This window comes from Homo sapiens, chromosome 15 (genome assembly GCF_000001405.40).
Source record: "Homo sapiens chromosome 15, GRCh38.p14 Primary Assembly".
Classification (NCBI taxonomy): domain Eukaryota; kingdom Metazoa; phylum Chordata; class Mammalia; order Primates; family Hominidae; genus Homo; species Homo sapiens.
The window spans coordinates 24,334,116-24,349,171 of record NC_000015.10 but is presented as its reverse complement, the minus strand read 5'-3'; the positions used below and the strand labels follow the sequence as shown (position 1 = coordinate 24,349,171).

The 15,056-nt window shown below is 38.6% G+C and overlaps 2 long non-coding RNA genes across 3 annotated transcripts in view; one reads left to right on the top strand and one right to left on the bottom strand.

Moving 5' to 3' along the window:
• Positions 1-15,056, bottom strand: part of LOC105370733 (uncharacterized) — a 440,742-nt gene that overhangs the window by 193,250 nt on the left and 232,436 nt on the right. Inside the window, exons 1-3 of one of the 2 annotated variants that reach the window (XR_007064538.1) lie at positions 5,446-6,273; positions 1,855-2,746; positions 1,665-1,761 (exon numbers count right to left, since the gene is read on the bottom strand). The exons of the other annotated variant lie outside the window; for it this stretch is intronic. This is a non-coding gene — a long non-coding RNA (uncharacterized LOC105370733). Of the gene's footprint in view, positions 1-1,664; positions 1,762-1,854; positions 2,747-5,445; positions 6,274-15,056 lie in introns of those variants that run through there. 2 annotated transcript variants of the gene reach the window in all.
• Positions 5,674-8,417, top strand: LOC102723749 (uncharacterized). Its single transcript, XR_007064540.1, has 3 exons — positions 5,674-5,834; positions 7,477-7,541; positions 8,282-8,417. It is a non-coding gene; the product is annotated as an uncharacterized LOC102723749 (long non-coding RNA).

The following is a 15,056-nucleotide window of genomic DNA, read 5'->3' as shown; positions in this document are numbered from 1 at the left end:
TGATGTTGATGACATCACCCAAAAACATCAACAGGAGGTTTGCAGACAAAGCTCATATACAGGTAAATGAGGACAATCACATTATGACTGCCTTCCCGTCAACAGTGTTTTAACGCTTTCAAATTTAAGATGCATCTGTATTTGATAGATGTGAAAATGTGCACTCTACGATGAATGGAATACACTGTTTTCTCTGTGACTGCTTGTTTCTCACTGTTAAATTATGGTGGCTCATTGGCTATATTCTTGTTTGTTATTGAGGAAATATGCTTAAATCTTACCATATAAATTTATAAACTGCATTTATATTCTACCTGGAAGCTTCACCACTGCCCTCCATTAGGGAAGTCCAGTTTGTCCACTTCTCATTAAAGTGAGTGTCCAGAGAGGTGTTATAAACTGCATTTATAATTTTAGACACATTAGAGTTATTAGTGGAGTGCTAGAATTCTTATGTCACATATGGAAATATAGTTCTATGAACCATGGTTTAAGAAATCCATTGAAGACAAAGATGAAAATTGTAAAGAGTTACTTGAAAAATTTACTGGAGTGCTAGCTCTCTAAAGACGTGGGAAAATCCTGTATTTTGAAACTTTAAACTGTAATCTTAGAAATATGAGCAACGCTTCCTGTAAACTTCATTACAGATTCCATTCTTTCAGCTGTAACATTTGTATATCTTTTTCTTCATTCACATTTGTCCTTTTAATCACATGGCTGGTGATCGTAGAAATCACCTTATGATTAGTCACTGCAGAAGTGAATGCATAATGGTCTTTATAAGATATTCTGATCTGCCCCCTTGCTTCTCTGGTCAACTCTACTTTGGGTAATTGGATATTGGAATCGGTTTCGATGTCCCCTCATGAGTACACTGAGTGATGAAAAAACTCATACAGTCAGAGTTAAGGGGGCTGACTGAAATTTCACCTAGAGTTTTAGACTCCGGGAAGGTTGAATTAAGTAAACACAAAGCCATGCCATTACATATATGAGACATTCCTTCCTTGAACTCAATCTTCTTATCAGGTTAGAGTGTGGAGACAGAGCACTGGGTTTGCCTCATGATGTCGTCTAAAAATGTGGTTTGTTTGCAATAGCATCTTCTGTAGACTTGTGGTGTCCAGACCAGCCTCTATACAACTGTTGATTTAGGATACTGTGCGAAATCATATCTTCCATGCAGTGAAAGTTTGTCTGGGGACTCAGTGCTCAGCACTTTGTCATCTGTGCCTGTGACATCCTGCTATTCAAGATTTATGGATGTCAATGGGAGTTTAATATGTACCTCCATGGCTTTGTAGGCCTTTTAGGCATGGTTCCTGAAAACAACTCTGCTGCTACTAAGAAGAGTGCAATGGCCTCTTAATAGGAAGCTGTGTGGAGAATTAGTGGGCAGCGAGTACACATGCAGAGTCATCAGTCACCCTGTTTCTGTCTCTCAGATCACTGCATGGAGGGTTGGAGATATGCTGTATACTGGTTTTTTTGTTTGTTTGTTTTTTTGTCTACTGAGATTTCTCTTCTTGTGCACAACATGTATATATCACTCAGTATCATTCACCTGCAAAAACTCTGTTGTAAAGTTTTATTCCCAGGCCTCTGGAAGCAGGGACTGCCCTGCACCAACTTATGAGAAATATTTTTTGTACTCTGCTTACCTGCTATCTTGATGGCTTTAGGGTTGGCCAAAGGCAATATAATTCCACCATGTGAGTATCAACAGAGTGCACAGTCCTGCACAGTTCCTGATGGAGCCTGTAGAAAGAAGCAAAGTAAATTAGAACAGGTTTTCTGAAAGGTTTGAAGGTAAAGTTGACCTTGGGTTACTTGAAGAAGAAATCCCCGTACCAAGAAAACATGATCCTGAATGCAGAAATATGATTTCTGTTCCCTGTCACTGAAATTTCTTATTCTTGCCTTATATCATCTGGAAGTCATGTCTTCCAAAAAGGTTAGTGGGATCCTGAATATACTCTGCTAAATGCTGTCCTAAAATGGGGTTTTCTGGGATATGTGAAAAACAGGCATCTTCCTTTCAAGAAGTGGATGCTGACGCTCTAATGACTAGGTAGTGGGGAAGGAGAAAGAGGATAAGAGTCCTTGGAGCTTGATGGTACCTTCCTGAAGGAGTGGCACCTGGGTTTCGAATGTTGCCTAGAAAAGAAAAGCCAGTTTACTATTCTCTCCCTACATGCCCACTTGTATCTGGAGGCAAAAGTTTTTTGCTGATGTCTTTACTTGCTTACTTTTCTTAAAAAAATAATAATAATATTAAAAAACATATTTATTTTGAAATAACTGCAGATTTACATAAATGCACATAGGTAAGTACAGACAGTTTCATATACCATTCAGCTAACTAGAATGTTAATATATATTATAACCATAGCATATTCATGAAAACTAAGAATTTAACTGTTTTTCGAGATTATTAACTGATCTACAAACTTCCTTCATATTTTACCAGGTTTTTTAATAATCATATACTTATCTATTCCAGGACCTAATCCAGAATACCACCTTACAATTACTGTCAAGTATATTACTTACTACTTGGTGCATAACAAATTAGTACGTACCTTAGTGGCTCAGAACCACACACATATTACTCACGGTTTCTCTGGGTCTTCGGTCTAGATGTAGGTGATGGCTCAGGCTGAGGCTCAGCTGGGGAAGGGTCTCCTTCCAAACTCACATGATTGTTCTTAGGATTCACTTCCCTTCCCTCATCAGGAACTCACTGATGTGTTATTAAAATCACAGAAAATTAATACTAATTTATCAAAAATATTTCAAAACAATACAATAATAATAAAGAAGTAGAAAATAGATTACTTCCCATTGTATACTATGAATTCGTTTACCCTGATTGAACAACTACACAAATATATTTCAAATAAGGAGAATGAAGACCAATATGCCTTATAAATACAGAGACAAAAATCACCAGGGAGACATTATCAAATGAAATCAGCAACATGTAGAAAGTATTATAAACTATGGCAAAAGGTATTTACCTCAGGAATGCAAGTTTGGTTCAACATATGATACAATTAATGTCATACACTATATTAATAAAGAATAAAAACTACACAATCATCTCAGAAGGTGTGCAACAAGCACTTGAAAATTCCCAGATTCAGTATTATAAAAACATGCAGCAAATTAGGCAGATAAGAGAACTTTCTTCATTTCAAAGGGCATCTATGAAAAGCTCACATATCATCATAAGTAATCTGAAAGGTTCACTAATTTCTCTGATATTAGAAACAAGTCACCTATTTCCACTGTTCACACTTGTTTGCAACATTGTACTGGAGAATGTAGACAGGGCAAATCATTTAGAAAAATATAATATTTCTAATATGGAAAGGAAGTCAAACTCTCACTGTTTGCAAATGACATGATCTCATGTATAAAAAGTCCAAAGGACTCTAATCAAACATGTTTAGAATTTAAAGATGAGTTCAAAGAAGTTTGCAGTATATAAAATATATAAAATATTTTAAATTTCTCTATACTAGCAATTAACAATCTAAAAACAAAACTCAGAAAATCGTTGCAATTGAGATCACATCAAAAATACTTAGGAATAAGCTTATCAAATTAAGTATAAGATATGTACACTAAAAACGATAGAACGCATATTGAACAAAATTAATAGAAAATCTTTGAATGCTCATTGTTTAGAAGGGTTAATATTGTTAGGTAGGCAATATTTTCCAAACGGATCTATAGAATTAATGCAACTTCTCTCAAAACCCCAGGTGGCATTACCTTCCCCTAAATTCAGAAGCTTATCCTAAAATTATATATAATATAGATACTGAGCAGCCAAAACACTCTTGAGAAGGACAAAAAGGGTTTGCATAGTAGACATATGCTTCCTGATTTCAAAACTTACTACAAAGTAATAGTAATCAAGATTTGTGGTACTAATATAGGGATATATGTATTGATCAATGGAGTAGAATATAATACTCAAAAATGAATCCTTACATTTATGGTGAAATGCTTTTATAATGTGGCCAAATAAATTAGGTATGAAGCAATATTTTCTTGTCAAATGTTTCTGGGTCAAGTGGATATCCACATGCAAGTTAGACTCTTGCCTCATACCAGAAACATAATTGACTCAAAATGATAATCCATCTAAACATAAGAGCTAAACAGACCAAACCCATAAAAAGGAACACAGGAATACATCTTTGTGGTCTTTGGTTAAACAATGTTTTAAGATATGACACTGAAAAATTACAAAGAAAAGTAGAAAATATAGAAATGATAAACCTCATTAGAATTAAAACCTTTTGCAATTTAAAGTCCACCATCAAATACAAAGAGGCACCCAAAGAATGGCAGAAAATATTTGAAAATTGCAAATTTTATAGGTGGTAATGGTCTATTATCCAGAATACGCAATGTCTTACAACTCAAAATTAAAAAGGCAAATATCCCAATCAAAAATGGCAAAATCTTACATAGCCAATTCTCAAAAAGCCATAGTCGTATCCAAAATCACATGAAAATATGCTCAATGTCTTTTGTCACTATGAGGTAAGAGACTGGAAGGACTTGTTTTCTGGTTTCACAGCCTTGATGACCAAAATAAGATCTGCTCCAGATAGGATAAAGTGAAAAAACTGGCAGAAGCCTGTACATTGTGGCAAATGTCACCCTGGCAGTCTTCATTTGTCACTCACATAAGACACTCCTACCAACCACATAACTCTTTACAAATTCCATGGCCACAACTCAGAAGTTACTGCCCTTTCCATGGAGACAACCTAGAAGTCACTGCCCCTTTCCTGCCTCAATTTGCATTGACTGCCCCTCAATTTGCATGTAATTAAAAGTGGGTTTCATTGCATATAAATACAGTTGCCAAGAGGCCTATATGTTGCCACCTCTGAATACACTGCTTAAGAGTTAACCCTGCTCCGCTAGGAGCACTACCATTCAATAAAATATTGCAGTCTAACATCACCCACTTGCCCTTAAATTCTTTCCTGGACAAAGCTAATAACAAAGTAATTGTCCATCAACGATAGACTGTATAAAGAAAATGTGGCACATATACACCATGGAATACAACGCAGCTATAAAGAAGAACCAGATGATGTCCTTTGCAGGGACAGGAATGGAGCTGCCAGTCCATTATTCTTAGCAAGCTAACACAGGAACAGAAAACCAAATACCTCCATGTTCACTTATAAGTGGGAGCTAAATGATGAGAACACATGGACACATAGAGGGGAACAACACACTCAGAGTTCCTGAAACCATTGGTCTGGATTCCGATGAATGGGGCAATCAGACACACAAGCACACCAAGGCTTAACCATTCTGGCCACTGGAAGGGAAAGAAACTACCCAGGAATGCCACCTGCTTCCAACTAGCTGGTCCCATGATTGGGGCTCTAGGGAATTTCTCTTTACCTGCTGAGATGTTTCTGTCTTGGGGAACTTCCTTTCTCTTCTTGCCACTGCACCAGGTGCTGACTACACTTCCTTACCACAGGGCAAGTGACATCTGAAGAGGCTGACAGACTTCAGAGCTGGGTAAGGCAACCAGAATACCCCCTGAACTGCCTCTGCCTGTTCTGTGATGTCACCTGACCTCTGCTCTGTTTACATATAGCTGCTTGTGACATCATCTGGGCATGTATGGTATCTGTATCTATGTCAAGACCTGGGCTTTGCTCCACTTGGAGTCAGCTGATTGGCAGGAGGGCATCTGAAATTGAGAGGAGGTTTCAGGCCGTTTACCCAGCCCTTTAGTGGGGATCTGTCCGGGACTCTGCAGTCTGAACCTGCAACTGTAAAAGGTACAATATCTACATTTAGGCCCTCATCTCTGTCTCTCTCTCCTCCTCCTCCTTTCCTCTGCAGGGTGATCTGCATAAGCCCCACTCCATCCAGGATCCAGCCCTGGAGGGAAATAGCCTCCACTGCCCTAGCAGGGTCACTCTTTTTGGGGCCCTGGAGTACTTCTCACAACTGTGCCAGTTTTTATGGGGAAAGGAAGGATGTGAACTATTCCATAGGTTATCTAAAGGGCTTGCCACCATGCTTACGGTGCTTAATGTTGTTTATGTGAAAAAAAGCTTAACAGCATATGGGTTAAGTGTTTAGGCAGTCCTGACTCCAACCCCTCTGCCCTTTTTATCTGCCTAATTTACCATTTAATTTGTTGCCATTCGGTTACCCTCTACTAGGGTACTAAGTACAGCAGAACATGGACCTGGGATGAAGTTGATGTGCTGTTGGGGCTGGGCGGGGGGCGGAGTGGGGGTGGTGGTGGGGGAGTGCTGTGCTAGCTGGTGCTAATCAGTAGCCTGCCCAAGGAATTTATTCTCTGATCTCTTTGGCTGTCCCAGCTGTGTGGTGTGATTTGCACAAGTGTTCCTTTAGGACCATGAGTGCTATTACTGCACTACTTATATGAAGCTAGAAAAGTCTTTCCAACCCACAGAGGTCTGGTTGAAGGACATGAGCAGTGCAGAACAGAAGAGAGACAACAAATAAAAGTGGTCATCACTGTTTCAACTGGGAAGAGCAGTATGGATATAGAAACCAAGTCAGGAGGGGAAACAAGGTCTCTATCCCCTCTGGGAGCCCCTGGGGCATACCCTAGCTAAGTGTAGATCCTATACCTATGAGCCCTTGACTAAGAGAAAAACGGTCTATTATTGCAGTGCTGTTTGGACTGTGGACAAGTTAGGTTATAAATTTTGACCTCTGACTGGACGTAACCAATACTAGTCTTTAATGCAGTTAGACTCATTTTGTCAGAGGTCTGGAAAATTAGAAAAAATACCATATGTCCAAGCCTTCATGCTTTTTGAAAATCAGGATTCATACCATGAGGGAAGACGCCAGCTGCCAGCTGTACCAAGGGACAGAATGGAAAAAGGACTCTTCACAAGCCAGATAGCCAAACTCAGGCAGAAAGCAATGAAGAAGAATTAGGACTTTTAAATGTCCTACACCCAAGCTGTTTTAGCAGCTCCAACCACCACAGCCAGAACGCACCTGGCCTCTGCTCCACCCCAACAGCTCCCACTGCGGTACCGCCATACGGGGCCCTTAGCGCCGGCCTCTGCGTTGGCCCGGATTGCCTTGATGCTACCAAGTGAGGCATCAGACCAATAAGAGGGAGCTACTCTGCCTCCTCAGTATAATGAGATAACAGAGATGGCCTCTCCCTCCAGTGCTTGACAGGGTACACAATTAAGCAAGGAAGTGCCATTTCAGGAATGCTAAGAATCCTCATCTCAGAATGAGGAATGACTTCCATGAAGCTGAATGTCTCTTCCAAGTTTCTAGGTCACAGGAGCTCATTTTCTCACTGTCACTATTACCATGGTGTAGAAAATAGACCCCATGTTTATAAACCAAAAAACAAGTCAACATTATACATGGCCATTGGTGTGCAGAATGAAGTCTGATGTCTTTGTGGGTTTTTAGGCATGGTCCCTGGAAACAACCCTGGTGCTGTCCAGCAGCGTGTTGAACAGGAAGTTGTGTGTGCGGTGAGTGGAGAATCCTTCCTGCTCTGGGATTCTCTGTTTAGCCAGCACATATGCAGAATCACCACTCAGCCTCTGTCTATCTCTTAGATCACTGCTGGAGGGTTGAGGATATGTTGTATTTTCTTCCTTCCTATCCTTCCTTCCCTTTTTTGCCTCTTTCCTTCTTTCTCTCTTTCCTCTCTCTCTCTCTCTCTCTTTCTTTCTTGGGTCTGACTTTATTGCTCAGGCTGCAGTGCAGTCACACAATCACGGCTCACTGCAGCCTTGACCTCTTGGGCTCAATCCATCCACCTGCCTCAGCCTCCTGAGTAACTGGGACCACCAGGGTGTGCCATTATACTCAGCTAATTTTACTATTTTTTTGTAGAGAAACAGTTTTTCCATGTTGCCCAGGCTGGTCTTGAACTCCTGGACTCAAGCCATCCACCCACTTTGGCCTTCCAATGCGCTGGCATTACAGGCATAAGCCACCACACCTGGCCTGTTGTTTTGCCTCTATCAGGTTTTCCATGCCTGTGCAAAAGCTATTTTGAATCTCAGCTGCCAAAAATCTGGTGTGAAAAGATTTTTTTGTCCAGGTCCAGATAAGTAGAAACTGCCAAAACCACCAACAACCATATATATATATATATATATATATACATATATATCTTTGTATTCCACTCACCTGCTGTCATGATGATGCCCATTTGGTGACTTTGGGGCTTGGGGATTGCTGATATAATTCTGGTATTCAACAGAATACAAGGTTCCATAAAATTCCTGATGGAGATCGTGGAGTGAAAAGAAATTATCACAGAATTCCAACAAGGCTTGAAGGCAGAATTATCTTTAGAAAACTAAGCCTGTATTAATAAAAAAAACATAATATGAAAATATAATTTATATTTCTTGTCACTAACATTCCTCAATCTTGGTCTTTGGCATCCAGAAACTTTGTCTGCCAAAATATGTTCAGTGGGATCCTGTAGATATGTTCCTAAATGATATCTGAAAATGGGCCTTTCTGGGGTATGTGAGGCATAGGCAAATATCTCTGAAAACAGAGAGGTTACTGACACTCAAACGAGTTACTTGGTAATAAAGAGTGTGATGGGGAGGTCAAATATGGACAAGAGTTCCTTGAGTTTGATAGTGGCTTCCTGAAGTAGATGGATGTATGTATGGAAGGGTAAATGTATGCGAAAATCTGCTTGGCTATTTTTTTTCTGTATGTCCATTCATCTTCTGAGGCCAATTTTTTGTTTGAGTCTTGATCTCCCTCTGTTTCCCAAGCTGGAGTGCAGTGACACAATCATGGCTCACTTCAGTTTGGAACTCCTGGGCTCAAGCAATCCTCCCAAGTCAGCCTCCCCAGAAGCTGGGATAACATATGCATGCCTGTCTTTTTTAATTAAAAATAAAAAATCAAAGATTTCATTTTAAAATAATTTTAGATACACATAAAGATGCAAACATAGTATAGCTAGTTTTACATACCCAGGAGTTTACTAGAATGTTACATCTTATTTATATACCCATAATGTATTTATGAAAACTAATAAACTTACAGTGGCTTAAAACTATTAACTGAACTACAGACTTTCTTCTGAGTTTACCAGGTTTTCTAGTAATGCCATTTTTCTGTTCCAGAATCTAATCCAGGGTAGTATTAGAAATTAAATGTGCTATCTTTTGTATTAGTTATCAGTTGCTGCACAACAAATTGCCACATAGTGTGATGGCTCAAAATCACACACACATTACTTACAGTTGCTCTGGGCCAGGAATCCAGATGTAGATGATGTCCACGGCTGAGGTCTCAACTGAAGGCTCATCTGGAGAAGGATTCCCTCAAAGCTCATGTGATAGTTGCTAAGATTCCATTTCCTACCCTGGACTGATCACGGTGGGTCAAACTTGTAATCCCAATGCTTTGGTAGGTTGAGGCAGGAGGATTACTTGAGGCTAGGGGTTCAGGACCAGCTTGGGCAACATACTTAGAACCTGTTTCTACCACACAAAAAAAAGGAAGGAAGAAAAGAAGAAAAAAGATTAGCCAGACATGGTGGCATGTGCCTGTGGCCCCAGCTACTCAAGTGGCTGAGGCAAAAGGATTGCTTGACCCCAGGAGTTCAAGTCTGCAGTGAGCTACATTCATGCCACTGTGCTCCAGCCTGGATGCAGAGTGAGACCCTGTTTGTGAAAAAAAAAAAATTTCCTGACTTGGTCAAGAAGACATCACCAGTGAATGATTTTACATCTTCAAATAATTAATACCAATTTATCATATATTTTTCAAAAAATAAACAGTAAACCCCAAGCCTGTGGCACCTAGCAGTGAAATGAGGAGCAAGCAACAGAGCCAAGCATTTTGAGATAATGTGGTCTTGTCCCTCCGTCCATCAGCCATAATCACTTGCAATTCAAATTCCACTTCCCAGAGAGGGAGGAAACTGGTGGCAGCCACATGTGCAGCACAGCAGTGTCAGCTCCAGCAACACCGCAGTCCCCAGGGTGTGCCTGCGGCTTCACGGATGTCACCTGCTGCACTGGTTTGCCAACTGTTTGTTTTTCTAAGTCCTCATCTTGGAATAGGTAACAACTTTAATAATAATATTTAAATCCTTGTTTTGCTCAACTTTTAAGTTTTTAAAAACTGTGATATTCCATTTTTTATAGATATTTATGAAGGCTCACAAAATGTGTCACTTCAAATGTCTACATGTTAGGTCTCCTGAGCATACAAACTAAATTGACCTTAATGAAATACCAGAATTAAATCTGATATTTCTTTTAAATAATGAGGACCTGTTAACCCACATTTTCATCTTTGTCTATACTTGTAGGTAATGTATTTAAAGAAAGAAATATGCAAAACAATGAAATCATATTAAAAAGAGTAATTTATCACCCACCTTTCTCTCTCCCTTTCTAGTGTTTTCTAAATCTCCATCTATGTAGCCCAATTACATCTTTTTACTACTCTGATTTGGTTTTATTCACTTATACAATATAATTGTTTGCAAAGTCTGAAAATTATCTTGAAAAAATGTACATTTTTTCTCCTTTTCATGTGTTCAATTCTATTTGTGCTAGATCAATTTAGACCTTTCACATAAAAAACAGTAAGAGCAACACGAAGAATAGATCACTTTCCAATCTGAGTTATCAGCCTTATACCACAGCTAGACAAAGTTACTGAAGAAAAACTATGATCAATATGACTTATGAACATAAAAACAAAAATTAAAGGGAATACTATCAAAGCAAATAACTGGCATGTAAAAATTTATAAATTTTGATGAAGGTATACATCTTACGAATGCAAATTTAGTTCAACATACGAAAAGAATTGGTGCCATAAACTATATTAAGAGATAAGGGACACAATACACATGGTCATCTTAAAAGATGAGCAATAAGCACCTGCTAAAGTGAAATTTCATTCCTTATAAAACCATGCAAAAAGTTAGGCAAATAAGAAAAGTTTCCTTATCATGAAAGCACAGAAAACCTCACATGACATCCTAAATCTTCTGAGAAGCTCAAGAACTTTCTTGTAAAATTAGAAACAAGAGAAGGATATCACTTTCACAGTATTAGTCGCCACTGTACTGGAGGATGTGGCCAAGGTAATTGGTGTAGAAAATAAACATAACGCAGTCCGATTGGAAGGAAAGTCAAATTATGTCTCCAAATGACATGATCCTGTCTATAGACATCATAAAATCTCTAATAAAACATAACAAAATATGAAAAAAGGGATAAGCAGGCTTGTAGTACAGCTTAGTACAGGTCAATATACAAAATCAACTGTATTTTTATTTATTAGCAATTAACAATCTAAAAACAAAATTTCAAAAACCATTTCATGTAAAATGGCATAAAAGTTAAATACCTATGAATTAATTTAATAAAATAAGTATAAGATACATATACTGAGGACTACAAAACATATCAAACAAATTAATACTATTATAAATTAAATACATTGAGCTTTCACTGATTAGAAAGCTTAGTATCATTAGCTTGCTGGTACTTTCCAAATATATCTAATGCAATCCCTAGCTAAATCCTAGGTGACATTTTCTCCCCTAATTGACAATTTTACTCTAAAATTCATATATAATGCAATAGAATTCCAGAACAGACAAAATAATTTTGAAAAAGAACAAAGTTTGTGTAGTAAAATGCTACTTTCTGATTTCAAAACATACCACAAAAGCAATAGTAATCAAAATTGTGTTAAGGATATGGAACAACAAAAGACCCAGAATAGCCATAGCTATCCTAAGCAGAAAGAACAAAACTAGAGGAATTACATTACCTGACTTCCAATTATACTAGAGAGCTATAGTAAATGAAACAGCAAGGTATTGGAATAAAAATACCCATATAGACCTATGGAACAGAATAGAAAACCAAGGAACAAATCCACAACCCTACAGTTATGTCATTTTTGACAAAGTTGCCAAGAAGGTACACTGGGGAAAAAGCCAGTCTCTTAAATAAATGGTGCTGGGAAAACTGGTTATCCATATGCAGAAGAATGAAACTAGAACTCTGTCTCTCACTGTATGCAAAAAATCAAGTCAAAATGGATTAAAGACTTAAATTGAAGACCTCCAACTACGAAAGTACTACAAGAAAACATTAAGGAAACTCTCCAGTATGTTGGTCTAGGAGAAAATTTCTTGAGCAATATCCCACAAGCATACGCAACCAATGCAAAAATGGGCAAATGAGATCATATCAAGTTAAAAGCTCCCGTACAGCATAGGATATAATCAACAAAGTGAAGCGACAATCCACAGAATGGGAAAAAATATTTGCAAACTACCCATCTGATGGATTAATAACTAGAATATATAGGCAGCTCAAACAACCCTATAGGAAAAAAGTCAAATAATCCAACCAAAAAAGGACAAAATATTGGAATAAGTATTTCTCAAAAGACATACAAATGGCAAACAAGCATATGAAAAGGTGCTCAAAATCATTAATCATCAGAGAAATGCAAATCAAAACTACAATGAGATATCATCTCACCCCAGGTAAAATAGCTTTTATCCAAAAGACAGGTAATAACAAATGCTGGTGAGGATGTGGAGAAAAGCAACCCTTGTACACAGTTGGTGGGAATGTAAATTAGCACAACCACTATGGAGAACAGTTTGGAGGTTCCTCAGAAAACTAAAATTGAGCTACCAAATATACCCAGCAGTAGGCTGCTGGATATATACCCCAAAGAAAGGAAATCAGTATATCAACGAGATATCTGCACTCCTATGCTTGTTGCAGCACTGTTTACAACAGCTAAGATTTGGAAGCAATCTAAGTGTCCATCAACAGATGACTGGATAAAGAACATATGGTGCATATAAACAGTGGAGTACTATTAAGCCATAAAAAATAAAGAGACCCAGTCATTTGTAACAACAGGGATAAAACTGGAGATCACTATCTTCAGTGAAATAAACCAGGCACAGAAAGACAAATATCACATGTTGTCACTTATTTGTGGGTTCTAAAAATCAAAACAGTTGAACTCATGGATACAGAGAGTAGAAGGATGGTTAACAGAGGCTGGAAATGGTAGCAGTGGGCTGGGGGAAGGTAGGGATGTTTAATGGTTACAAAACAAATAGAAAGAATGAATAAAACAAACTGTTTGATGGCATAACAGGGTAACTATGAAAGTCAATAATAATTGTATATTTTTACAAAACTTAAAAAGCATAATTGAATTGTTTGTAACTCAAAGGATAAATGCTCATAGAGATAGTTGTCCAATTCTCCATGATGTGTGCTTATTTCACATTACATGCCTGTACCAAAACATATCATGTACCGTGTGTGTGTATATCTACTACGTGAGAAGGAGAGATGTTGTGGGAAGTCAGAGACCCGGAACCGAGGGACTGGCTGAAGCCATGGCAGAAGAACGTGGATTGTGAAGATTTCATGGACATTTACTAGTTCCCCAAATTCAGACTTTTATAATTTCTTACTCCTGTCTTTACTGCAATCTCTGAACATAAATTGTGAAGATTTCATGGACACTTATCACTTCCCCAATCAATGCCCTTGTGATTTCCTATGCCTGTCTTTACTTTAATCTCTTAATCCCATCATCTTCGTAAACTGAGGAGGATGTGTGTCGCCTCAGGACCCTGTGATGATTGCATTAACTGCACAAAGTGTTTGTAGAGCATGTGTGTTTGAACAATATGAAATCTGGGCACCTTGAAAAAAGAACAGGATAACAGCAATGTTCAGGGAACAAGAGAGATAACATTAAACTCTGACCGCCAGTGAGCTGGGCAGAACAGAGCCATATTTCTCTTCTTTCAAAAGCAAATGGGAGAAATATCACTGAATTCTTTTTCTCAGCAAGGAACATCCCTGAGAAAGAGAATGCGATCCTGAGTGTAGGCCTCTAAAATGGCCACTTCGGGGGCAGCCATCTTTTATGGTCAAAGATGTATGGATGAAATAAGCCCTAGTCTCCCATAGCGCTCCTAGGCTTATTAGGATGAAGAAATTCCCGCCTAATAAATTTTGGACAGACTGGTTGTCTGCTCTCAAATGCTGTTTCCTGATAAGATGTTATCAATGACAATGCATGCCTGAAACTTCATTAGCAATTTTAATTTTGCCTCAGTCCTGTGGTCCTGTGATCTCGCCCTGCCTCCATTTGCCTTGTGATATTCTATTACCTTGTGAAGCACGTGATCTCTGTGACCCACACCCTATTCGTACACTCCCTCCCCTTTTGAAAATCACTAATAAAAACTTGCTGGTTTTACGGCTCGGGGGGCATCACGGAATCTGCCGACCTGTGATGTCTCCCCCAGACACCCAGCTTTAAAATTTCTCTCTTTTGTACTCTGTCCCTTTATTTCTCAGACCCGCCGACACTCAGGGAATCTAGAAAAGAACGTACGTGAAATATCGGGGGTGAATTTCGCCTGATATCTGGCTGAATTTCCCCCAATAGTGAGACATATATATCAATGGAATAAAATCAAATGTCGAAAATTAATTCTTACATGCATGGTAAAACAATTTTACAAGGTTGACAGGTCAATTCAATATAAAGAAATATTTCCTCACACAGTGTTGCTGGGACAAATGGACATTTACATGGAAGTTATCTCCTCCCTAGCACCATATGCATAATTGACTCAAATTAATTATGCATCTAAATATAGGGGCCAAATAGACCAATTCCATAGAACATAAGAATACATTTTCATCGCTGAAATAAATTGGATCTTTGTCCCCACCAAATCTCATGTCAAATTGTAATCTGCAGTGTTTGCCATGGGATCTGGTGGGAGGTGATTGGCTCCTGAGGGTGATTTTCATGAATGGTTTTAGCACCACTGGTGTTGTTCTCCTGATAGTGGGTGAGTTCTCACAAGATCTGGTTGCTTAAAAGTGTGTAGCACTCCAGCCCCTCTCTTCATCCTGCTCTGGCCGTGTGAAGTGCTGGCTCCCCCTTTGCCTTCCACCATGATTGGAAATTTC